At 40.3% G+C, this 26321-nt stretch overlaps 1 protein-coding gene across 21 annotated transcripts in view; it reads left to right on the top strand.

The window, feature by feature from the left end:
• ERC2 (ELKS/RAB6-interacting/CAST family member 2) overlaps nucleotides 1-26321 on the top strand; it is a 960157-nt gene that overhangs the window by 514394 nt on the left and 419442 nt on the right. For 20 of the 21 annotated variants that reach the window (NR_132749.2, XM_017006156.2, XM_047447950.1 and 17 more), the window contains one exon: nucleotides 3514-3649. Coding sequence is in view for 20 of the 21 variants with exons in the window: in XM_017006156.2 (XP_016861645.1) it covers nucleotides 3514-3649 (136 nt within the window). In the remaining variant the exon portion in view is untranslated. Of the gene's footprint in view, nucleotides 1-3513; nucleotides 3650-26321 lie in introns of those variants that run through there. The other variant, XM_047447953.1, reaches the window with a different exon arrangement.

Genomic DNA, 26321 nt, shown 5'->3' with positions numbered 1-26321 from the left:
GAGCAAGTCAGTCTCTTGCAGAGCCTTGCCAAGTGGATGGGGATTTGGAAAAGAGTGATACTTGGTTCTGGGGCAGGATAGTAAGAAGGCATTGCAGTCTCCACGACCAGGGGCCTTACCTTCTAGATTGTGGAGACATTTGAAAGCTGTACTGAATTTAGCACTTTGATTCATTCAGTGTGGGTGTACTTCTGCAGGTAGGGGAAGATGTGGAGACTGATAGGTCACTTATAGATTTTATTCTTACAAATGCTGAAGTTGTTGCTAGCAAAAATCACTGTGGTCATTTTTTCACTGAGCATCTGTGAGGGCATTTTCTCTTCTCTAAGAGATCTAGTATTTTTAAATTTCATGACTCCTCTACCTGTATCCCTTATAAATTGCCATTTTAACATGTGTTTCAGGTAGCCTTAGGGCTTCCCTGAGAAACACTTGAGAGAGGGGTTATCTGGTAGTGAGGCTCTGCTCACCTATTCCACCCCACTTCTTGCTTCTTTCCTACCTGTGCCAGAGAAATCCTTCTTTTCCCTTTTGACTTTCAAGTAAGCATTAAGTAAAAGAAAGGCTTCAACTGCTAGAAATATGTGTGAAAACTGTGGAACTACTTCAGGAGAGTGTGGACACTATATGTAGCTATTGACAGTTTCATGAACAAAGACAAGATGATCATTCTCATCCACCTTGCTCTGCATCTCTCTAATTGGCCCAAATCCTAAGCAGTGCCATTCAAAACCCAACTTTCCATTTTCAGTCACTGTTGTCTTAAATAAGGGAGTGTTTAAAGGAATGGCTGGAGATAGGCCTCCATCATAATGTCAAAACTAGAGTACCCCATTTTTCTCAGCCACTCATTCTTTTTTTTTTTTTTTGAGATGGAGTTTCACTCTGTCACCCAGGCTGGAGTGCAGTGGTGTGATCTTGGCTCACTGCAACCTGTGCCTCCCGGGTTCACGCCGTTCTCCTGCCTCAGCCTCCCGAGTACCTGGGACTACAGGTGCCTGCCACCATGCCTGGCTATTTTTTTGTTTGTTTGTTTGTATTTTTAGTAGAGATGGGGTTTCACCATGTTAGCCAGGATGGTCTCGATCTCCCGACCTCATGATCTGCCCACCTCGGCCTCCCAAAGTGCTGGGATTACAGGTGTGAGCCACCGTGCCCGGCCGCCACTCTTTCTTAATTCAGGAAAGCTTTAAGGGACACGTGGGTTTAGAATATGCTTTTTTCTTTGGGATTGAAAAAACATTGCAGTATCCCTGAAAGTAAGGTCACTGTGTTCAGACTGCTCCAAGAACTTTGTGGGAGCTCTTTCACTGTGCAAATGATGTTTGTAATAATAATCTGTATTTGTCACCCATACTTGGGGCAGGGGGACTTTTAGCAGTTGGTTCTATTTAACACTGTATTCTAAAGTAATAAGATTATTTCTTTTTAAAAGTACCCTCTAATTAAACAATCACACTAATCATCCTGACCTCTCCATAACATCCTGTTACTGAGCTCTGGCCTTATTTCCTAAGGAACTGGAAAATGCGCCTGCCTTAGGTTAGCATGGGCTTTGGAAATACTGTGTCCTCATTCAATTAGAAAGCAAGAGGGCATTCTTAACATCTTTATACTAACCAAAAGATAATTTCCTCAAAGTGGATTAGCATGCAAGTTTGACTTGGTGGCTTCACGTGTGTATGTTGCTGTATCAGGTAAAAATGGAGAAATATTGGACAAAAATTAATGCAACTCAAAGACTAAGGAGATGGTTATTATATCATACTTTATGTCCTCTTAATAAGTGCTACCAATAATATTTAAATCATGGCTTCAGTTAGTGTAAATATTCATAAGAAGACAAAGTGTTCAGAATATATATATATATATATAGAGAGAGAGAGAGAGAGAGTGTGTGTGTGTGTGTGTGTGTGTGTGTGTGTGTGTGTGTGTGTTTTAGAGATGGGGCCTTGCTATGTTGCACAGGGTGGTCTAACTCCTGGGCTCAAGCGATCCTCCTGCCTCAGACTTCCGAGTAGCTGGGACTACAGGCATGAGCCGCTGCACCCTCGGACTGTTTTTATTAGCAAGGAGTACACTGTTAGTACTAGATAATATTATTCTACTAACTAAACAATGCTCTTGTGCTTCGTTTGCTTGGAATGGGAGAGAGTAGGGGGGTACATAATTTATGAGGACTAGAAATAAGAGTTTCTTGCGGAGAGCAGTTTTCATTTGATTTTAATTGTTTCAATTTCACGTTTGCTGTTTATCATCTAGTTCTCATCTTGTTTACATTTTAAAACAGCAGTGATTCTCAGTATGTTTTTTACTGAGTCAGGGCTCAGTAACAGTGGTTGACCTGGCAATGCTGTGGTATGGGGGAAAGGGATCCGAAAGGACCCCAAATGATTCTGCTGCTCGTCCCTCCTCTTGTGTCAATGCTCCCGAGCCCTCCGTACTGCCCTCCTACCTCCTCATGTGTTGGATTAGATTTATGACAGCTGCTGTGGACATGGTTGCCTAAATCTGTGGAATGTTTTGCTAAAAGCTGCTGGTGCAATAGTACACATTAAGCTTATAATTCCCATTGTTGTTTTCTTGAACCCATTCTTTATCTTTAGTCTTTTACTCACTTGATCACTTTATGATTTTGCACTTTGACATCCTGTAGATTCATTAAGAAGTTTTACTCCAAGCCCCAGAGCTTTATTTAACATTATGATTAGCCAAACTGTTATTGTGTTTGAGCTAAGTGATGACAATGTATTTGATTGGAGCCTCATAATTGTTATTTTAAAATCAAAGTAATGGATTATGATCTCAGAATAAGAACATGATCCAAAAGAATAATAATAATAATTAGAACAGCAACCAATTAGAAGAAAATAAATGCTGTATCATGGACCAGAGGCCCTATGAGCCTGGGCCCTGCCTACCTGTGCAGTCCCATCTCCCACCCACATCCACCCTTCCCTGGATTAGCCTCACTGCAGCCTTCCAGTTTCTTCTTTCCTGTCTTGGAAATTACACGCATTGTTCTCTCTACTTGGGAGCTCTGCCACTGGTGTTTCTCTTGGTTAGCTCCTTGTAGTCTCACCCACAGTCTCACTTTGCTAGGGAGGCTTTCCCTGGCCACAGCATCTAAAGTCATCTCCTTCCACTCCACCACCTGTCCACACATGCACATCACTGTCTCTCACAGCATGCTATTTGTTTCCTTCAACGTTAAGAAACCTAAGTTGTGTTTCCTTGGTACTTGTCCATCTTGCCCACTGGCCTCTAAGCTCCATGAGAGTGAAGATTATACCTGCCCCATTTGCCACTGCAGCCCCAGTGCCGTCCTGGGACCTGGTATTAAGTGGATGCTCAATACATATTTGTAGTTGAATGAATGGATTATTCAGAAGTATCATCTTTTTCCCAAGCCCTTATCCAGATAGCCTATACTTAGTACTTCCTGAATCTATTTGTGATAACATATGATCTTCCAGTGGTAGAATTTAACCAAGCTGTGCTGACTTTTCTCAGGCATATGAAAGATCAGAATAAGAAGGTGGCCAACCTCAAGCACAATCAACAGTTGGAAAAGAAGAAAAATGCTCAGTTACTAGAAGAAGTGCGCAGGCGAGAAGACAGCATGGCTGACAACTCACAGCATTTGCAGGTAAGCACAGGCTTCTCTTCTTAATCGCTAAATAACTAGAGATGGACTCTCTCAGAAATGTCACCATTGGTGCCAGAAAATATGCACAGAAATGGTGGACTTTGCCTTTGCCCTGAGTCTAGCACTAACAGGGAACCCAGTAGGTCTTTCCCAGGGAGGGTCATCATTTTCAGAATGGTGGCCATGAAAAGCCAATTACGGTAGAGCCTGGAAATACAAGGCAGAGTCTTTTGGTTCCTGTACCTCACCTTAAAAGGTAAGGGCTGCATTTATATAGTTGGCAAGAAACTTAAAACATAGAAATGTCTTCCTTTTCAATTTATATTTAAATTGTTTTGGGAATAGAAGAAGGCAAATGTGTGTGTATTATCACAGAAGGTATTTGGGTGAGGATACATTCAGCTGATCCCAGACAGTTTACAAAACCAGTTTTGTTTTGTTCAAGACTGTGAAGCTCAGACACAGATCATTATTCTGTCTTCTCTGTGAATATAGTTATCTTTCAATGGACAGCCATATCTTAGAAACAAACCAACTCACTGGAAACACCAATTTTTCCTCATTAACCACCCTTATTTTTGGCCAAGGAGTGCTCCCCATGTACTCAATAAAACATTCAAGCTAAAACAGGGCATTTGCTTTGAAGTTTCTTTATTTATTCCAGTGTGCCTTTAAACAGAGCAGTTCAAGTTGGCCGGAGTTCATGTTAAATTTTGGTTATTAATTAGTGTCTTTCTCCAGTTATATATTAGGTTTCCTCCTTGGAGATAGGAGAAGTTAGATAATTTCAATATGTACTCATAGTTCATCTTTTTAATTGGCCAAAAGAGAAATCAGTAATTATTCCAGTGTAGGAAATACAAGGAAATACCTTGCATAGAGCATGGCACATGAGGACTAGTTAGTCAATATTAGGTATTTTTTTTTTCCTTTCTCTGTGTCCTAGACATGCCTTCTGGTGTCACTGAAGGCCCTTTACATTGATGCTTGATTTGGAGTGTTCACTGAATAGTGAGACAATAGTAGGTGGGCCCAAAACTTTTTTTTTTCTTTTTGAGATGGAGTCTCCCCCTGTCGCCCAGACTGGAGAGCAGTGGCGCGATCTTGGGTCACTGCAAGCTCCACCTCCCGGGTTCACACCATTCTCGTGCCTCAACCTCCCGAGTAGCTGGGACTACAGGCTCCCGCCACCATGCCCCGCTATTTTTTTTGTATTTTTAGTAGAGACGGGGTTTCACTGTGTTAGCCAGGATGGTCTCCATCTCGTGACCTCATGATCCGCCCGCCTCGGCCTCCCAAAGTGCTGGGATTACAGGTGTGAACCACTGCGCCTGTCCAGGTGGGCCCAGAACTTTAAAGACGACCTGACCTTAGGGCTCACCTTGCTATGGTGTATTATTCCGTAAAACAAGGATAATAATTGCATCTGCTCCAGAGTAGTTGTGAGAGTTAAAGAGTCAAGGCATATAAATAATTTAGAATTGTACTTGGGTACAGACCATGCCCAAAATAAGCATTCATGACTAATGGTTGTTATAATAACAAGGAAAAGGCAAATGAAACATTAAAAACGATTTGTTTACTATATGCAGAGGTATTTCTACAGTTCTAATCTGATATACAATGAGCATCAAAGTTTTTGTCTTTTCTATATATAGTAATTTCTTCTTTTCTGAGGACACATATAGTTATGGAAATTAATGTCTTGTTTTGGCCCATGAACTTTTGTATAGCAATATTTTCATAAGAGGCCTTGATAACTACCTCATAACCTCTTCATAAAAGATAGCATGGTCTGGAATTGCTTAGTTGCATTCCTGACCACCCCAAATAAAGGATAGCATTTGAAATGCAATAAAAAGTAATCACGATTAATTTTGATGAAAATGTCTCTGGTTAAGGTTAATAGAGAGTAAACCTCCCACTTTCCTGGATTGTTAAGCAGATGTGCTCAGATGTAGTAATTACTGCCAAAACTTTCTGGAGGCACTTGCCTTTTTTAATATTGCTATTGTTTTGAGCATTTCCTGTTTACAAGTTAGCCTGTTAAGCTTTAAGTGTCAGTCAGCCAGGATTTAGCTTGGCTGGTTGGTGGTTGTGGCATTGGCACCTGTTAATTTTGATTTATTCTACACAAGCATTTGGTAACAATTGGATACACTGGCTTCATGATTTCAACCAACCCAACAGGTATTATATCCAGAAAAATATCATGTAGAGTATTGCCTACAACAATAATAGCTAGTGGATCAGGCTTCAAAGAAGAGCACCAAGAGATTCAACTAGTTGGTATGAAAGTCGGAAACAAAGTTGAATGAAGATAGAGTGACTATGCTTTTTATTGTTCAAACCAGAACACAAAAGGCAATAGACAAAACCTGCGTCACCTCAGTCAAACCTGGATATATAGCACAGTACGAAATATTTTACAAATCCAGTCTTCTTTATTTCATAAGTTTACAGTTTTCCGACAGAAATTGCAAACTCAAATGTCTTCAGGGTCTAGGCTTTTAACATAAGAAACAGGCTTGTGTGTAGGAAAAATAATGATGTCTGGTTCTTTCTGCCTGTTTTTTATTGTTTATTTTTGGTAGAGATGTGTCAGTTAGCAATTGCCATAATAATGCTGTGCTGTGCAACAAATCACCCAAAACGCAGTGGCTTTTTAGTACCAATAGTTTATTCTTACAGATTTGCAGGTTGACTAACTGGCCCAGCTGCTCTAGGGTGGGTTTGGCTGGGCACTTCTACTCACTGCACATCTGTCGTGGTGCCTGGGGCAGCTCTGTTACACGTGTTCATTCTGAGGCCAGGTGTCAGCAACCCAGGGAAAACTAATGACAGTTGCTGAAGCACAAGAGAATGAGCAAAAACATACTAGGCCTCATAAGGCCTACTCTTGAACTGATATTGTGATTTTCACCCTTGGCATTGGCCCAAAGCAAAGCACATGACCAAGTCACAGATTGGAAAAGTTCACTTGACTCACAAAGACAAAAATGTACGGGAGTAGATACGAGGAGAGGTGGAGAACTGAGGCCAATCATTCAGTCTATCAAAAGAGACAAGCCCTGGAGAAATATTTCTCTATTATAAGAAAAATAGCATATGCATAATGAAAAATTTCAGCTGTAGGTGGCCTTAGTGTGTGGATATAGTTGAGGGTGGTGGGGAGCTATAGGGAACTCAAGAACCCTTACTCATCTATGGGAGTAGTGGCCACTAAGCTCTGGTTGAACACTGCTGTAAAGGTGGGCCTAGGGTGATGGGACCTCCGATTATCCAAGACAGTCCATAAAATGGGAATTTGTATGTGAAATCTATAGATTTTAGAAAGTTAGTTGAATTTTTAAACACTCTGGGATCCTGTGAAGCACATGTGCACATGAGTTGCCCATTGGCTTGCGGCCTCTGCTGCATGGCCTGGCACTCTGATCCCAGTGGGTCTACATTGTGTAAATAAAGTGACTAAGAATACACCCTAGTTAGCCGAACTTGACTCATTGGAAAGAGGTGGCAGTTTAGTATTTGTTCTGAGTCCCAATTTTGTTTGAAGATACCTTGAATTATTGTTTCTCAGAGGAAATCACCACTATCTACAGGAATAGGGAATGTTCTTGATTTAGCTTCTCAAATCATTTTTTTTGGAGCATTGACAAGGAGAACAGGAAGGGAAGGATGCAGAACCGTGGAGTTGAACTGGCCAGTGTTCAAATACTGGCCCTTATTATTATTAGCTTAGGGCCTTGAGTATGGCAGAGAATCTCTCTGACCCTTACTTTTTTCATCTGTAAATGGGGATTACAATCTTTACCTCCCTGGGCAGGTTAAATAAAATAAGGTTTATGAAAGAATCTAGCACAGTACCTGACATATGTGGACTTCAGTTACTAGAGTTTTCTCCCAGAGAGACTGATAATGAGCTTTTAGTCATAGAAGACAGTGACCATTGGGAGTATCAACCAACAAATTCTTTGCAACTATTTTACACTGATGAGTAATACAGATATAGAACACACACCAGTAAATGGAAATTCCCAATAAAGCATTAAAAAAACATTTTGGGCAATAAGGAGGAAAATTAAAACATTCTTCAAGTTAATGTTGAATTGTGTGTGAAAGGTGGATGTGAAAGATCGTGATTTTCTTGTATAATTCTGTAGAGCTTTTCCCAGAACACAGATTATTGGGCATGATATTTATGTCTGACCTTGGGGCTTTGGGCTTCTGTGTGTCCCATCAGAGCCCACATGGAGGTTTTTCAACAAGGTGTCTTTCCAGAGATTCACACTAAATCGTCATTTCCAGAATGGGATGCCTTTTTTTTTTATTTTTTTATTTTTATTTATTTTTTTCTTTTTAAAGCTCTAGCTATTTCTCACTGAGTAAATATACCAATTTGAAACCCCAGTGGATATCCTTGTAGATTTTGGCTGCATTTTTCTATGTGTAGCTTATCGAGTTAATAAACTAACTTTCTAAAAAATGTACAAGCCAATGTTTTGTGCTCCTTTTCTGTTATATGTCTGCAGAATTCTCTTCAATTTATTGCCTGAAAACTAAAGTCTGTTCTTGTGTGCTTCCGTTTCCAAATTATAGGTTCCCAGGGAACCGTAAAGTTTCTTCTCTGCCCGTGGTTAAACCCAAGTGTGATCATTTTAAAAAGCAAATGAATGTTCTCATTTATTCTTGTCCTTTTAATAGAATTCTAAAAAAAAAAGCTAGAAAGGCAATTTTATTTTTTAATTTGTGCAACCCTGTACAGCCAATATCTTTTTTCGAAGGGGACTTCCTTTACTTTCCTCCTCCAATTAGAGTTGGAATCAGCTAACAGAGGAAGTGTAACAAACAACATAAACCTCAAAAATGCATAGCTTTCAGCAAAACATATAGTTCATTATGGAGTTCCCAAGGTTTGCTAAGTTGTTTCTTTGCAGAAGGACGTGTATATCTTAAGCAGCAATTTTTTAAGCTTCATATCTAAATGTTCATCTCTCCAAGCCACTAAGTTAAATTCATTTCTTTTTCAATTCCCTGAGCTTAAAATTGTTACTTTAAATGTGATCTATGTTCATGTGTTATGGTACACTTACCTAAGTACTGCCATTAGAAGAAACCTGACCAGCAGAGTTAAGAGATTCATCATTGTCAAAATGAGTTTATTTAGTTCCTAGTTTTCCATGGCTGTTTGGTAGGCATGGTGTAGAGTGATTTAGGGAGGCTTCATTTCAGCCATCATTTTCAACATATGGAAAAGATGAGAAAGGTCATCCTAACCCAGGTTTAAAAGAGAATCCACATTTGTTTAAATTTTTATTAGAATTTAACATCATGATTTGTTTTTAATGCTGTGAAGTGTTTTATTTATTTGTTTTGCAGTTTTCTACCTTGATGGGTAGAGATTGGGAAGTTCCATTAAGTTATGGATAAATCCTATCACATTGTTGAAATATGAACTGACCCTCATCTAATTTTTTCAGACTCTGTTCATGGTTTCAGACGAAGAGAAATACTCAAGTATTTGTTAGTCTACAGAGGACAAGGAATGTTGACGAGTAGGACTGAGGGTCAGCACAGAAGTGCTTTCTTTCCTTGGGGATTTATTTTGACATTTGTTTTTCTTTCACACTATAATCCTCCGCGAGCCAAAAAAACGACTTTTGCTATAGCAGGCCCCTGTAGGCGGTCTCAGAAAATCTTATTTGACAATCAGTTTCAGGTAGCCTTGAGTTAAAATCATTACTCTTTGTAGTAACTCATAGACTGTCAGGGGCAACAAGACATCCTGTGCAATGTATTTGGGAACTAACTATTTGTTAGAAATGTTCCAAGAAGCCAAGTGCAATCGTGTAAATAAAACTGTTATATGTGGAGTTTTTCTTCTTTCCTCCCACTAAAGTATGACTTGTTTTTCCAAATGTGCAGTAACTTGCATATTTCTTCTGAGAAACATCTTCTGCTTTTTCCTGTGGATTTCTGACCTAATCCTCCACTTCATATAGGCTTTCTGTACAAACACAATATATTTCTATGGAAAAGAGAGGTTTACTCTTAATCAAGTGTTGCCTAAGCTACCTACTAAATTACCCCCTGAAGACAGAGTGGGGTTCATTATTCTTTTCCAAAGGGTTTTCAGGTTTCACTCCATTAGTGGCTCTTCAGCAGTCCTTGGCAAAGTGAATGTTTGTTTGCCGAAGGCTGAAGATCCTGCTGAATGAAACGCAACATATTTCTCAAATGTAATCATTGTTATTATGGGGGTAGAGTTTGAAATGACAAGCCTTGGGGTGGGGGTTTTGGAAAAAGAAATCTTGCTTGAATGGTATAGTCATCTCTTATTTATTTTGAGGGGGCTTTCTAAGCAAACTCACACTATTTTTTAGACGTTATCCTATTTTGTGGCTTTTGGTCCCTGAAATAGAAATCAATAAGGGAAAATCAATAAGTGTCATCCTTTTGTGAGCTCCAGTGAAAACTAGAAGCAGACGTGGATCCTTTCCTAAAAGAAATGCTATGCTCAGTTCTAGAGAGAGAGGAGGGCTGGGCTTGTAGAGTCTGTCTTGCCTCTGTTTACCCCTGACTCTGATCTATGGGCTTATTTTGAGGTGAAGCTTGGACTATAAACTGGAGACCCCATTTTTGTATGTTCATTAAAACCACTGCTGATGATTCGTTTAGTCAATAATAAAACAAGCCCATCTAAGCCAGAGTCCTGTGTGCTTTCTAAAATGCTTTCGTGGGGTGATCTTCATGCTGGATCCTTTTTCTGGCCTTGAGGATTGGTAGGACCAGTTTATCTATCTTTATTTTATAGATGAGGAAACTGAGAGTCAGACAATTGTTCAGTGACTGGTCTGCAGTCGTGAGTCTCATTGAAGATAAAGCCTTAAGGAGGTACCAAAAGCTTGAGAGTTCTTCCTGTGAAGATTAGACCAAGCCTCAGGTTTCGTACACTGAAAAAAAAAACGCTTCCTCAGGCAAAAGACTCGGAACCAGAATCATGCTTCAAAAGCCACTGGGAAGGGAGACCTCTGAGGTGTGTGTTTGGGAGCATCTATATCTTCTTCTATTCTATTTTACTCCATAACACGTGCAGTATCATTTTCAAAGTAAATACGGTGAAGGCATTACTGAAGAACCCAAACATTGAAAGCAAAAGGACTGGGAGAAGAAAAAAATTCTGACAGCATACCTTCTTACTTTTTCCAAGGTAGAATTTATGTAATAACTCACACACAGGACTTGTGTAATCCCTAGGGTGCAATCGTGTTCAACATGCATCAAAAGGGCCAGTCTAGTTAAACCAGCTCTCCCTGGCCAGGATAATTACCTCAGGTTTACCCTGAGTTATCGCTACCAGAGGTTAGTCAGGGGGGCACCTGCAAATTACAGTGCATGACACACTGACATCAATAACCTCTTTCCAATAGCTCAAATAGATGCTGGTATTTCAGCACATCACTGCCCAAGGCAGAGACCTGGGCATGGTTAACTTCTAAAAATGTTAACTTTGACTTATGGCTTGTCCAAAGCATTGCCAAACTATATATTCAAACACTCCAGATTAAGGAAATGACAATCAATGACATAGGCAATGATTTAGATGGAAATCTTGCAAAAGGAAAATACAACTATTAAATCAGTTCCTATTCACTTAATCGTCTGTCCTGTAATACACATTTGGGAAGTTGGTAACTTGAATTTATGACACTTTTAATTTCTTCTCTGCTATTACACTTTCCCTCTACATCTTATTTATGTTGCCTGGAAAAAGCCCTACAAGGTTTGAGCAATCATAAGTTTTTCTTACTAGAAAGGACCTTAGACGGGCCGGGCGCGGTGGCTCACGCCTGTAATCCCAGCACTTTGGGAGGCCGAGGCGGGCGGATCACGAGGTCAGGAGATCGAGACCATCCCGGCTAAAACGGTGAAACCCCGTCTCTACTAAAAATACAAAAAAAAAAAAAAATTAGCCGGGCGTAGTGGCGGGCGCCTGTAGTCCCAGCTACTTGGGAGGCTGAGGTAGGAGAATGGCGTGAACCCGGGAGGCGGAGCTTGCAGTGAGCCGAGATCCCGCCACTGCACTCCAGCCTGGGCGACAGAGCGAGACTCCGTCTCAACAAAAAAAAAAAAAAAAAAAAAAAAAAAAAAAAAAAAAGAAAGGACCTTAGACTTCATTTAATACAAGCTCCTTGTTTTGCCGATGAAGGAAGTAGGGCCCAGCAAAGGCAAATGACCTGCCCACGATCCTAGAGGGAGTTATTGGCAGAGGGGAGACCAGATCCCAAGCCTTCTGCATCCTTGCCCAGTGCCATTTGTGCAACCCACTGGTTCCATAAGGTAAGACTACCTTTGATAGGATTTGAATGGTTAAAATCTTCAAGCTTATACCTAAGGCTTGTGCCCCTCAGCATTGGGTATTAGATTGAGCATCTAAAATTATATAAAATTAGTTAGTTATTGTGAATAAACTAAGCTTTATGTATATTTTATAACAGGATATTCTATCATTTCCTGTGCCTCTCTTATGTCTTTAAAACTAGGGTAACTAAAGAAGTAGTAAATCGGTGGTGGAGATAATTACTGTGAGAACAGAGTACAGAGTTTAGGACTCTTTAGATAATAAATAAAAATTAGTTTAAGTTATTTATATCTTTGCCATTTTTCTCCATCCATGAAAGGATGTCACCCATAAAGAGAGTCAGGAAGTCTCTTGTGATGGAAAACAAGTGTGGATATTTTAGAAAATTCAACCAAAAGAATAATAGCTGCTTTTTATTGAGCAATGAAGTAGGCCAAGGATAATGTCTTCAGTTGTGTTCCCTGGGAAATTGAGACTCTGAGATGAACATGCAAGAAGTTTATTGAGGGTGCTCTCAGAAAGGGAGGGAAGTGGGATTAGGCACAGGGAAAAGTCAAACTGTAATGTAGTTGCAGCAAAGGCCGTAGCAGTCCCTATCAGTTGCTCTGGAGCTGAGATAGCCATTTGGAGGGCTGTTGACTCTAATTGAGTCAATAGAGGTGGGCAATGCCAGGAGAAGGGTGTAATCTTAGACAAGGCAGCTCTCAGGGAAAGCACATCCCTGGCACTTGGAGACTGTCTTGGTCCTGAAGGGGCATCAGGGCAGTGCATCTACATGTACAGCAAACACCTGATGTGTCTGTTGCACCCTCTTCATTGACACCCATGGCAGGTACACGCAACTGATCCCAAGACAAGTCTTACCCACCCAGCTTAATAATTCTTTTCAATATTAGCAGCCATTAAAAAAAGCAATCATAGTTGGCCAAGTTGCTGTGTACACACAATGAATTGTTTAATTGTCCCAACAAACTAATGAAGATGTTACTATCTTTGAAACCACTTTACAGATAAGAAGATTGAGACTTAGTGATGTTAATTTAAGCAAGAGAAAGAGCCGATGCTGTTTCTCAGGTCTCAGTCATAAACTGGACACCTTTCTTTCTCCTGAGTGGAACTGTTTCTTTGCATGCCTTTTATTGGGCACAGTAACTGTATCAACAGTGAAGATGCTGGTCAGGCCCCTCCAAAAACATAGAAAAATTAGGTGGCATAAACTTGGGTAACGGGGTTTTGCATGGATTTTATGGAAACGGATTAAGCTTTATTTTAAGTAGTGAGTTAGACTTAAATGCTTCTTAAATGTGTGTAAGACTCTGCCTTCAGTTCATCAAGCATTCCCAATGATGTTTTTTGAGGACTTTTTTGTGTGCTAGGCACTGTGCAACCTACTGAGATGTAACAACAAGTAAGACAAAATTCCTTACATTTGAATATCTCAAGATCTTTTCTTCTGACTAAAGATGTCCTCCCCCCAGCATTTGATTTGCAGTAGCTTCTGAAAGTAAACCAGAACATGCATTACTGGGCTGCTGCGTGCTCTGAGACAGAAGAGTATTTGAAAGAGGTAACAATGAAGTTGTGGCTGCAGCTGGACTCTTGGCTCTTGCATGCTAGAACAGAAGCTTCTGGAAGGCCTTTTGGACCTCAGGTCATCCGTGGGGCCCTGAGCTTCTGAGTGGGTGAGAGACGAATGTATCAAGCAGGAAGTGAGGGGATCTGGGTTTTAGTCTAGGCTCGAGTGATTTTTTTTTCTCTAAGCCTCAGTTTTCTCATCTACAAAAGAGGGGCTTGTATTGAAGTAAGGCCCTTTCAACTCTGAAATCCTGGGGTCTGGGGACTAATTGAAGGGTGCACATATGTGGTGATTTAAAAGCACCTTCCAAGCAGGGGAGGCTCATGGGCCAACTAGTGAGGCTGCTGCCAAAATAGAACATGCAGGTCAGGAGCAGGGATGTCCTCCCATTGGGAATCTAGGGAAGTCAGTCTTCTTGGCACCATCCTGGTAATATAGAATACCTGGCTTTAAATGTAAGTCACTCTAAGAACTCTGTTTTCCATCTGGAGTGCAGGGTCTGCCATTTTGAGAATTTCATAGTGTGCACTAACACATTTTGTTTTCTTTAGAGCAATCGGTTATAATAATACATCCACCAATTGTTACTTTTTTGGTGCAAGATGGATTAGAACTCTGACAGTCTGGACACAAGATACACAGTGCAGGAACTTCTCAGAATTGAGCCACCTGGCTTACAGACATTTCTCAAGGGAAGGAACTATGTGGCTTTAAAATGTAATTGTTTGTGAAGTAGATTATTGTTTTAATAAGCCACTATGTCAGCAGGGGCTATTTTTCTCCTAATTGTTCAGGTCATAGTGAGCTGTGGGAAAATAGAATAGAGACTAATTTGACTAAAAGAGGGTTGATATAATCTAGATTCACATTTCACAAAACATGTTTATCAGAGTGATGGTTCTATGGAATACTATAAGGAAAAGGGGTTTCATTTGTCAAATGCCTCTGGAAAATAATACATATTCTTTTAGGTTAAGAATACTGTGCATATTAACATGTTAAAGGCTCTGAGAAGTCCTGCAGTCAAAAGAAATGTTTGATATTCTTCAATCCAGAATTTCTCTAAATCACTTGACAAAGGGAGCCCTTTTCTTTCCCACTAGGGCATTTATTAACATTGCAAAGTATTAGCATTTTATGGAACTTGGGCAAATGCCGATTTAGGCAATTCTTACTGATGATAACTGACATATGCAATTACTTCTTGGATTAGAGTTTGAGGTTGGTCAAATTCTGCGGTGATACTTTATTAAGCATAATATTGTCTTTGCTGAATCAAAATTCACCTGGATTGCCCCTGCCACTTTGTTGAAAAACAGCTCTGTTATAATGATTAACCAAGAAAATTCTAATTCTAATGTACTTTTAAAAAATTGTACCTCATTAAGAAAACTGATATGAAGCAAATTGAAAAATGTTTATGAAAGGTACAGTAATATTTTCATCTATTATTTCTTGATCCCAGAATCCACATTGATTTCTAATTACAAGTTCACATTATGCTATACTCCAAATCCAAATCTGATAAATTTTTTTTAAAAAAATTGATGACTGTTTTGGGGGAAGGTGTGGAAATATTTCCAGGTTTAAAATATAAAATTGAAATTTTTAAGTATCCATTGTTAATTGTAACTTGGATGCAATTTTACCTTTTTTTCTGCTAAGGCAATATGGAATATAGTGCTCTAGGCTCATGTTATGCTGTCAAAGTCAATTATACGGGTTGAAAATGAAGCACAGAGCGTCCCTGTGTCATTACCAGCAGACTTGTTTTTATTTTGGTTGTACTTTTTTGGCTGTGAAAGGATCCTTATAAGAAATTAGAAAACCGCACATTTAAAAATGTTAACTGTTAAACAATATAACCTTGAGTGTACATCTCCTAGATGCCTGGGTCTGTTCAGACATGGGCCTGTGATTTCTGAATGAACTGCACCTCTCTTAACCTGACTTAATGACGGCTTTACCTTTTACTCATCTTGCAAGGTTATTTTCCTCCTAGTGGAAATGAGAGATTAAGGTCGTTCTTGACTGTTGCTTGGTTCACCAGAATAAAGTTTCACTTCACAGGAATTACCACATGTACGTTAGAGTCCAGTGGTTGAGACCAGGGTAGTAGTTAGAATGAGATCATAGTTAGCTATGAAGTCTGGGAGATATATGGCAGTTGGGCAAGGACATTCTTTTCTGTAATGTTTTTAATTCTCAAAGCTTATTGTTTCCCATATAAAAATAAGGACATAGCTCTATATTTTAAATGCTTCTGAAATGAAAGTTTTAATCTATTCATTCATTCCACAGGCATCATGTTGGGCTCTGAAAGAACCTCTTGGTTTTTCGAGGCTGGGTTCTTGCTTCTCTCTCATGCCCTGTCTAATGGACAGACAGAACCATGAAGACCTAATCATAAGACATACTAGGAAATGTGGGCGTAGGGCTTTTTGGTAGATTGGACTAAGCAGCACTACAAGTTTAAAACATGAACCTTCTAAGTAAAGGCAGCTTGAGTTTTTCCACCCAAGTCAGCTCCTGCAGCATTGCTGGGGCTCCCTGCATGTGTTTCTAGGCTAAGAGCTAGGCCTCTATCCCTGGCTCTGATGACCACTTCTTCCCGTCATTTATGAGTCAGTAAATATAATCTCATGTACCCAAACATAAGCCACCCTGAATACAAACTCATCTACTATTTCTCAAAGATAAATTTTCAAGTTTCAATATAGAAACTTACAGAGATATAGATAAAATAATCAAGATGTCTACTTATGACATTTATATTATCAGTTTAGTTACATTCAAAATCATTTATTACACAACATGTGCTTTTTTTTACTCTTGTATTTCATGGAACAATGTCACCTGAACTCTCCACAAGCCTCCTCTGCCTAACAGTCAGTGACCCCCCTGGAGGTGCTTTTCCATCATCTGGTGCAGCCTTCCCTGCACCTTATCTTCCCCTCTGAGAGGTTTGACCCCAGTACCTTAGGAACCCATGTGTGACCAAGTAGCTGGAGTCTTGAACAAAGCCACAGCCATCTACTCAGATCATTAGCTTGTTTTACAGGTTTTGAGTAGGTGTGAATGTTTTTTATCTCTTTACCAGGCCGGGCTGTAATTGCTTTTTTGTTTTGTTTTGTTTTTGAGACGGAGTCTCACTCTGTCACCCAGGCTAGAGTGCAGTAGTGTGATCTTGGCTCACTGCAACCTCCGCCTCCCAGGTTCAAGTGATTCGCCTGTCTCAGACTTCCAAGTAGCTGGGATTAGAGGCCTGAGCCTGGCTCATCTACTAACTGGCTAATTTTTGTATTTTTAGTAGAGACAAGGTTTCACCATGTTGGCCAGGCTGGTCTCAAACTCCTGATGTCAAGTGATCTGCCCCACTTGGCCTCCCAAAATGCTGGAATTACAGGCGTGAGCCACTGTGCCCGGCCTGTAATTGCTTTTCTAAGGGATGTTTTTACCACGTGGGTTAAGATCATTGGCTTCTGTGTTGACTCCCGATGCTGTCACTTACTAGCTGTGTGTTGTGCAACAAGGTTGATAAGTTTCGGGTGATGGTAGTACTTGCCTCCTAGTGTTGTGTGGTCATTTAGAAAACAGCATCCGGCACAGAGTAAATGCAGGTTGATGCCGTGATGATGTTGCTAGGATGCTGATGATGTCATGTTGTTTTTCAGCATTTACACTGGTGAGGGCTCTGTAAAGACCTTACTTACCATAGCCTATAGCACCCTGTGCCATTGGCCCTGGCTCTCTTTGGGACCCCCTGTTGTCCTCCCATTGTTTCCCTCACTGACTGCTCCAGCACTCCAGTCTCCAAACCCTCCCTGCCCTTGGAACAAGCTGGTCCCTTAGCTAGAAGGTTCTTTCTTCAGGTATGTGTGTGAGTTACTTCTTCATTTCATGTAGGTTTCTGCTGCCATGTCGTTTTCTCAGACAGGCTTTCTCTGAATGCTCTTTCTAATTAATAGTTCTTGTCTTTCTTTATGTTTCTGTCTTTATTTTTCTTCATCACTTATATCACAGCCTAAAATAATAATGTACAGTTATTTGTATACTTATCTGTCTTTCCCATGAGCACATAGGCACTTTGTCCATCATCCCTCCTCCTAGAATGTAGGACTATCTTACGTATCCAAAACAGAGTTGGCCCTTGGTAGACATTCAATAAATACTTTTTGACTAACTGAATACATGAGTTATTATAAGTGAGCAGAGTTGCAAATAAGCTTCCATAGCAGCTCTGAGGATTGGTAGTGGCTTCTCAGCATGCAGGAGAGAAGGACTGAGGCTGTATCTGTGAGGGAAGAGAAGAGTGCCAACGCCAATCAGCCCATGCAGGGGGCTCGGGAGAGAGCAGGAGTGTGTGTTCTGCCTGAGACTCAATGGAGACCTCCTTCGAAGTGAGGACCTGTGTCTTTTCAGTGCCTGATAGGTAATAAGATAATTACTATTAATTATTCATAAAATGAGATGCATGAATAACTGAATAATCAGATAGGCTAACCATGAATAAAGAATGCACTATTTAGATTTTGTCATGAAGTTTGTTTGAACAGAGATTTTCTGCAAGAGGCATTCTTGTTGGCATTTGAAGATGTGCATTATTGTTGAGCTACCCTAGCTGTTTTTCATTTCTCCTTGAAGTTGCAGAGGGCACCTTCCTCATTAGAAGCTGCTTGGAATGGCTGTCTGGAGAGCAGGGAGGGCAGCGTAACAAAGGGGCCAGAGGAAACCTAATTTCCACCCTGTCCTCAGAGCAATGGCCTTGTGTGGCAGGCACCCTGTATGCACACATGTAGGGCACATGGCCTGCAGACTGGAAAAATTTTCAGAAAGGTGGCAAAATGAGCCAGCAGGTTCTCAGAGCAACTTTTTCTTCATACTTTGGTTCTCTAAGTGAAGCCATACTTTTTCTGAGTGTTTAGATCTTGGCCAATAGCACTTATGTGAGCAAGGAATTTTCTCACTAGCCAAGAGTTTGTTCATTGTCTAATTGACAGATGGATGGAGTAATTGAGCTATTCAGCAAATGCACAGTGGTCACCTGCTGTGTGCCGGGCTCCATGCAGGGAACACTAAACCTGTGTAAGCACTAGGACTACGTCACAGCCACCATCTTCAATAGTCTAGTTTTTGGCACTCACATTTCAAATGAATGTTTTCCTTCTCAGCTATCACCCCGTGGAACTGGTATTCACTTCCCAGCATGGCGACTATTACTCAAAAGCTTTCTGGAACTCCTCTGGCCACCTTGAAAGCCATGCAAGAGATCATACTCTTTTGTAATCACATGTTCTTACCTAAAACCCAGCATTTCCTATTTTGATCAGCAGCCTTATTCTCCAGACTTGGTTCTAAAAAACATGTGGCTATAAAGTTATGCTTCTGGCAGGGTACTGTGCCTAACTCTGAAGATGGTTCCAAAGCTGTTTCCCAAAATGTCATGGAGTAAAGGCTACATCTTTGGAGTAGGTCACAGCCTCCAAGGTCACTGCTTAGAATGGGGATTATGTGCACAGAGATGGGAACAGTCTGGCATGTTTTGTAACCTTATCTTTTTTTCCCCCAGACCGCATGATTTTTTTATTTGAAATGAAGCAAGCTAATTTTTAAGCATCATATAAATAATATACTGATTGGGTTTTGAACTTTTCAAATGGCTCCTTCTATACTGCAGAAAATTCAAAGTCATTTGTAATCACAAAAAGACTTCATATTGCCAAAATTATGTAGACATTGTGGATGATGTTGATTCCTTAAAGGCCTAAATTATCCAGAAATTTCCTGAGTTCTTCCCAATTTTTTTTCTTTGTCTAGATCTGGATGTTGTTTCTTTTCCATTCCCCATTTCAGAAGGGAGGCTGCATGTCAGTGGCCATCTCTTTTCATTCTTCAATCTAGAGTTACGTAGGCCTGGAATCCATTCCTTCTTCTAGCACTTCACAGCTGTGTGATTTTGAGATTGCTTACTCTTGCTATGCCTCAGTTTTCTTATCTTTAAAATGGGGATAAGAAGACTAGCTACCTCATCAGTTTGTATGAATCAATGACTTCTCAATGTAAAGTCATTGTCACAGTTCTTTATGCATGGGAGTGTACTCTGGAAATGACAGTCACAATTACTGTTGTCATCATTATCATTACTACACCTAGCATTGACCAAATATTCAGTCATATTCTGATATGTTTTAACTCGAAACTCTTAGGGTTAAACTGTATTGAAGATTTGCATGCCTGTTCTGATACTTTTGCACTGACTGGGAGAAAAATGCAAGATTTATGTCTTTGTATACTTTTTCCCAGCATCATAAATTTTTAGAACTTTTCTTAATGTTTGGCAGCTAGCCATACCCTCATTGAGCACACATGCACATATGGTATATATGCGCGTATATAGATATATATACACATATGCATATCCATTTTCAAATGGTTTTATTTTCTTGCCATGAAACATCATGGCCTCCTTAATTTTGCTTGCTAGAGTTAGATGGCTGTATTTTCCACCTCTAAATTAAAAACCCAAAGAATTTGACACATAGGCACCAAAGTGGCCACTGACTTCACACAGACAGATACTTGAGACAGAAAGCCCTTTCTTCTTTGTGCTCACTTGGTGTCTGGCTTCACCTGGTTGGGCAAAGTGAACTATGCGTAGGTTGAGCTAAATATGGCCTTGCATACCCACGCACTGGAGGTGGGCAAAGGGTTCCTGTAAATCGAGAGGCTGGACACCGTCTCCAGTCCAGAGGCCACAGGAGTGAGGTGACTGAGGAGGAAATGGCACGGCTCCTGTGGCCACGCGGTTTGCCTGCAGTTGGTTTGAGCCACATAGAGCTCTCCAAACGGACTTTGACGGCTACTTGGTTAATTTGATTGATGCTATGGGGAGGCAGGATCCCTGAAGAGTATTTATATAGCCCTGCACATATAGGCTGCAAAGGCAGCCACAAAACCAAGCTAAACACAAATTTTAGCCATGAAATAAATTTTAGAAACACTGTATACTTCCCTGTTGGTTTAAGTGCATACAGGTATCGTTATTCTTTCTTCTCATGGCTGAAGAATTGTGTTTGCTATCTTTATTGTTGCTTAAATTTTGCAATTAAAACTTGACTTGCCAAAACCCATGTACAGCTGTTTCAATGAGAATTTAAGATTCTTTTCTTTGGTTTCATTTTTGCACAGAGGGTAGGCTTTCTCACTTCTAAGCCTAAAGGTTGGCATTTGAGATTGGGCATGGTTACTTTCTTTATTCTCTCTCTTTTTTTTTTTTTTGAGACAAAGTCTTGCTCTTTCACCCAGGTTGGAGTGCAGTGGCGCGATCTCTACTCACTGCAGCCTCCACCTCCCAGGTTCAAGCTATTCTCCTGCCTCAGCCTCTCGAGTAGGTGGGATTACAGGCACTCACCACCATGCCTGGTTAATTTTTGTAGTTTTAGTAGAGGCAAGGTTTCACCTTGTTGGCTAGGCTGGTCTCAAACTCCTGACCTCAAGTGATCCACCCACCTTGGCCTCCGAAAGTGTTGCAATTACAGGCGTGAGCTACCACGCCCAGTGCTTTCTTTATTCTTCAAAGTAATTAACAATACCATTTTTGCTGGCCAGACCTATGTATTAATTGCCTTCTTTTTTTCATGGCTCCTTATTAAAAGGTAAGTATCTCAAGATAGTTTGCCTCATTCTAGCTGAGTATTCGCTGAAAAAAATTTCCAGGATGGCTCAGTCATCAGAGTCATCTGTTACTTTTGGAAGATTTTACTATAGTTCTGTCAAGGAATAAAGAATCCCACTGGACACTTGCTTTTATGAGTGGTGAATGTATTGGGAATATATTTTAAGGGGTACCAGAAAGGAAAAGAGGGATGATTGTGAAATGAGGAGTGTGCAGTATTCAAGCTAAGATCTGAAGGCAGAGCAGAAGCCAGCCATGCAAATATTTGGGGGCAGTGCATTTCAGGTAAAGGAAACAGCATGTACAAAGGTCCAGAGGTGAGAACGAGCACAGCCTGTTCATAACAGTATGAACCAGGCAGAATTACTAAGAAAACATGATATCCATCTCTTAGGGTTGTTATAAAGATTAAATTTGATGAAGTGCATTAAATACTTAGCCCCAGGCAAGCAATAGCAATAGATGTCATAATAATAACATCATTATTGCCTTCATCTGCTTTAAAGTTCTTCTCGGTACATAGAAATTCTTTAAAATACTTTAACAGACATAAAAGGAAAGAGGCATTATATTTTTAGTGACTACTCAGGCCTTTTAGACCCTAGGTTATCCATCATGGAAGCTTTTCTCTAGCCTAGCTTTCCTTACTTAGACATACTGTCTGTCTTCAAGCAGATCTGCTTTGATTCATGAATAGAGACAAGCAAATGGAAGTTGGATATGAAATATTTATTGCAGCAATGAGAACTTATGAAAACATGGGAGGAGACTTGTTAGGTTCTCTATTTACAGAACAAATTCTACACAAATCCAGTTGATCGTTATTCCATAGTTAAGTTATAGAATCCAAGATGATGAGAGTTGAAAAAAGAAGTAAAAATTTTAAGTACAGTACAAATGCAGAAAACAGCTTAAGCACATGCACAGCAAATGATTTTTATAAGATGAACACCTTTGAGCCAACACTCATGTAAGGACCTAGAACTTTTTAGTTACCCCAGAACCTCTCCAAGAGGTCTTGCTCAAACCACACCACTTCCTCCTTTCTTTTTTTTTTTAAATTATACTTTAAGTTCTGGGATACATGTGCAGAACATGCAGGTTTATTACATAGGTATACATGTGCCATGCTGGTTTGCTGCACCCATCAACCCATCATCTACATTAAGTATTTTTCCTAATGCTATCCCTCCCCTAGCCCCCCACACCCCGACAGGCCCCAGTGTGTGGTGTTCCCCTCCCTGTGTCCATGTGTTCTCATTGTTCAATTTGCATTTATGAATGAGAACATGTGCTGTTTGGTTTTCTGTTCCTGTGTTAGTTTGCTGAGAATGATCGTTTCCAGCTTCATCCATGTCCCTGAAAAGGACATGAACTCATTCTTTTTTATGGCTGCATAGTATTCCATAGTGTATATGTGCCATGTTTTCTTTATCCAGTCTATCACTGATGGGCATTTGGGTTGGTTCCAAGTCTTTGCTATTGTGAACAGTGCTGGAATAAACATACATGTGCAGGTGTCTTTATAGTGGAATGATTTATAATCCTTTGGGTATACACCCAGTAATGGGATTGCTGGGTCAAATGTTATTTCAGGTTCTAGATCCTTGAGGAATTGCCACACTGTCTTCCACAATGGTTGAACTAATTTACACTCTCACCAACAGTGTAAAAGCCTCCCTATTTCTCCATGTCCTCTCCAGCATCTGTTGTTTCCTGACTTTTTAATGATCGCCATTCTAACTGGCATGAGATGTTATCTCATTGTGGTTTTGATTTGCATTTCTCTAATGACCAGTGATGATAAGCCTTTTTTAATATTCTTGTTGGCCGCATAAATGTCTTCTTTTGAGAAGTGTCTGTTCATATCCTTCACCCACATTTTGTTGGGGTTGTTTTTTTTCCTGTAAATTTGTTTAAGTTCTTTGTAGATTCTGGATATTAGCCCTTTGTCAGATGGATAGATTGCAAAAATTTTCTCCCATTCTGTAGGTTGCCTGTTCACTGTGATGGTAGTTTCTTTTGCTGTGCAAAAGCTCTTTAGTTTAATTAGATCCCATTTGTCAATTTTGGCTTTTGTCGCCATTGCTTTTGGTGTTTTAGTCATGAAGGCTTTGCCCATGCCTATGTCCTGAATAGTATTGCCAAGGTTTTCTTCTAGGGTTTTTATGGTTTTAGATCTTACGTTTAACTCTTTAATCCATCTTGAGCTAATTTTTTTATAAGGTGTAAGGAAGGGGTCCAGTTTCAGTTTTCTGCATATGGCTAGCCCGTTTTCCCAACACCATTTATTAAATAGGGACTCCTTTCCCCATTGCTTGTTTTTATCAGGTTTGTCAAAGATCAGATGGTTGTAGATGTGTGGTGTTATTTCTGAGGCCTCTGTTCTGTTCCATTGATCTATATCTCTGTTTTGGTACCAGTACCATGCTGTTTTGATTTCAAGAATAACCACTCTCCTGACTTCTGTGGTAATCTCTGCCTTACTTTCTGTATTAGTCTGTTCTTGCATTGCTGTAAAAAACTACCTGAGACTGGGTTATTTATTTATTTATTTATTTATTTATTTTCTTGAGACGGAGTCTCACTCTGTCACCCAGGCTGGAGTGCAGTGGTGCCATCTCAGCTCACTGCGTCCTCTGCCTCCCAGGGTCAAGCAATTCTCCTGCCTCAGCCTCCCAAGTGGCTGGGATTACAGGTGCCCACCACTATGCCTGGCTAATTTTTATATTTTTTGTTGAGATTGGGTTTCACCATGTTGGCCAGGCTGGTCTCGAATTCCTGACCTCAAGTGATCTACGTGCCTTGGCCTTCCAAAGTGCTGGATTACAGGCATGAGCCATGGTGTCCAGCCAAGACTGAGTAATTTATAAATAAAAGAAGTTTAATTGCCTCACAGTTCCACAGGCTGTACAGGAAGCATGGCTGAGGAGGCCTCAAGAAATCTTCAATCATGGCAGAAGGGGAAGGGAACGCAGGCATGTCTTCTTATATGGCTGCAGCAGAAGGAAGAGAGCGAAGGGGACAGTGCTACACACTTTTAAACAAGCAGATCTCCTGAGAACTCATTATCACAAGAACAGCAAGGGGGAAGTCCGTTCCCATGATCCAGTCCCCTCCCACTAGGCCCTTCCTTCAACACTGGGGATTACAGTCAGACACGTGATTTGGGTGGGGACACAAATACAAATTATATCACCTTCCTTTGTAATTTTTATTATCCATTTGCCTATCCCTATATATTATAACTTAGCTTTGTCCACTTTTTTCTTTCCTTATTTGAAAGCAAGCTTCAAATTTTTCCCATTGGAAGAACAGGAATGAAATAAAAGTGGGCATGCAAGGAAGATCAAAAGTCAAGAGAAAAAAATATACAAAACTTGAACTCAGCCAGGGCTAGCAGGTAAGAGGAAGCTGCTTGGAGAAATTGAGAAGGGCAGGGCAGTACCTGTGAGGGGTGTGGCTGGCTCAGAGCCCCTTACTTCTGCCATTGTGAGGGAGTCTCTTCTGGAGACTCAGAGACAGTGGACATCAGGATGGCAGTGCTGAGCAGGAAGTTTTAGGGGGAGCTCTCTGTTTACACTCTTCTGGAGCTCCTCCTCTGAAGGAGTCAACAGCTATTTTCCCAGTCCCTGTGGCTTAGGGGAGGGGACCCAGCAATCAGTAGATAGAAAAATTGAGAGAAGGTTCAAACTGGGAGCCTCTCTCTACTGGCTGAGGAAGAGGGATCTTGGTCAAGGAGATGGGGAGTACTCCCCACCAAAGAGGTTAACTCCCCATGGCAGGAACAAAGCAATGGTGGATAGTAACCAAAACAGTATGGTTCTGGCATAAAAAGAGATACATGGACCAATAGAACAGAATAGAGAACCTGGAAATAGATCCAGACATCTACAGTGAACTCGTTTTCAACAAAGTTGCCAAGAATGATACATTGGGGAAAGGACAGTCTCTTCAGTAAATGGTGCTGGGAAAACTGGACATCCATATACAGAAGAATGAAACTAGCCCCCAGTCTCTGCCATATACAAAAATCAAATCAAAATGTAGAAAAGACTTAAATCTAAGTTGTCAAACTATGACTCTCCTAAAAGAAAACACTGGGGAAACTCTCCAGGACATTGGACTGGGCAAAGATTTCTTGAGTAATACCCCACAAGCACAGGCATCTAAATAAAAATGGACAAGTGGGATTACATCAAGTTAAAAAGCTTCTACACACAAGGGAAACAATCAACAAAGTGAAGAGACAGCCTACAGAATGGGAAATATTTGCAAACTATCCATCTGAAAAGGGATTGATAACCAGAATATATAAGGAGCTCTAACAACTCTATAAGAAAAAAATTGAATAATTCGATTAAAAAATGGGCAAAAGACGTGAATAGACATTTCTCAAAAGAAGACATACAAATGGCAAACAGGTATATGAAAAAAGTACTCAACATTATTGATCATCAGAGAAAGGCAAAGCAAAACTACAAGGAGATATCATCTTATCCTGGCTAAAATGGCTTTTATCCAAAAGACAGGCAATAACAAATGCTGGGAAGGATGTGAGAAAAGGGAAGACTTACGCACTGTTGGTAGGAGTGTAACCACTATGTACAACCACTATGGAGAACAGTTTGGAGGTTCCTTAAAAAACTAAAAATGGAACTACCATACAATGCAGCAATCTTACTGCTAGGTATATACCCAAAAGAAAGGAAATCCATATATCAAAGAGATATCTACACTACTATGTTTACTGCAGTACTATTCACAATAGCCAAGATTTGGAAGGAACCTAAGTGTCTATCAACAGATGAGTGGATAAAGAAAATGTGATACATATACACAATGGAGTACCATTCAGCCATAACACAGAATGAGATCCTGTCATTTGCAACAACATGGGTGGAACTAGAGGTAGTTATGTGATGTAAAATAAGCCAGGCACAGAAAGACCAACTTCTCATGTTCTCACTTATTTGTGGGAGCTAAAAAAAATTAAAACAGTGAAACTCATGGAGATAGAGAGTAGAAGGATGGTTACCAGAGGCTGGGAAGGGTACTG

Source organism: Homo sapiens, chromosome 3, assembly GCF_000001405.40.
Source record: "Homo sapiens chromosome 3, GRCh38.p14 Primary Assembly".
Taxonomy (NCBI): domain Eukaryota; kingdom Metazoa; phylum Chordata; class Mammalia; order Primates; family Hominidae; genus Homo; species Homo sapiens.
This window is presented reverse-complemented; position numbering and strand designations above follow the sequence as displayed.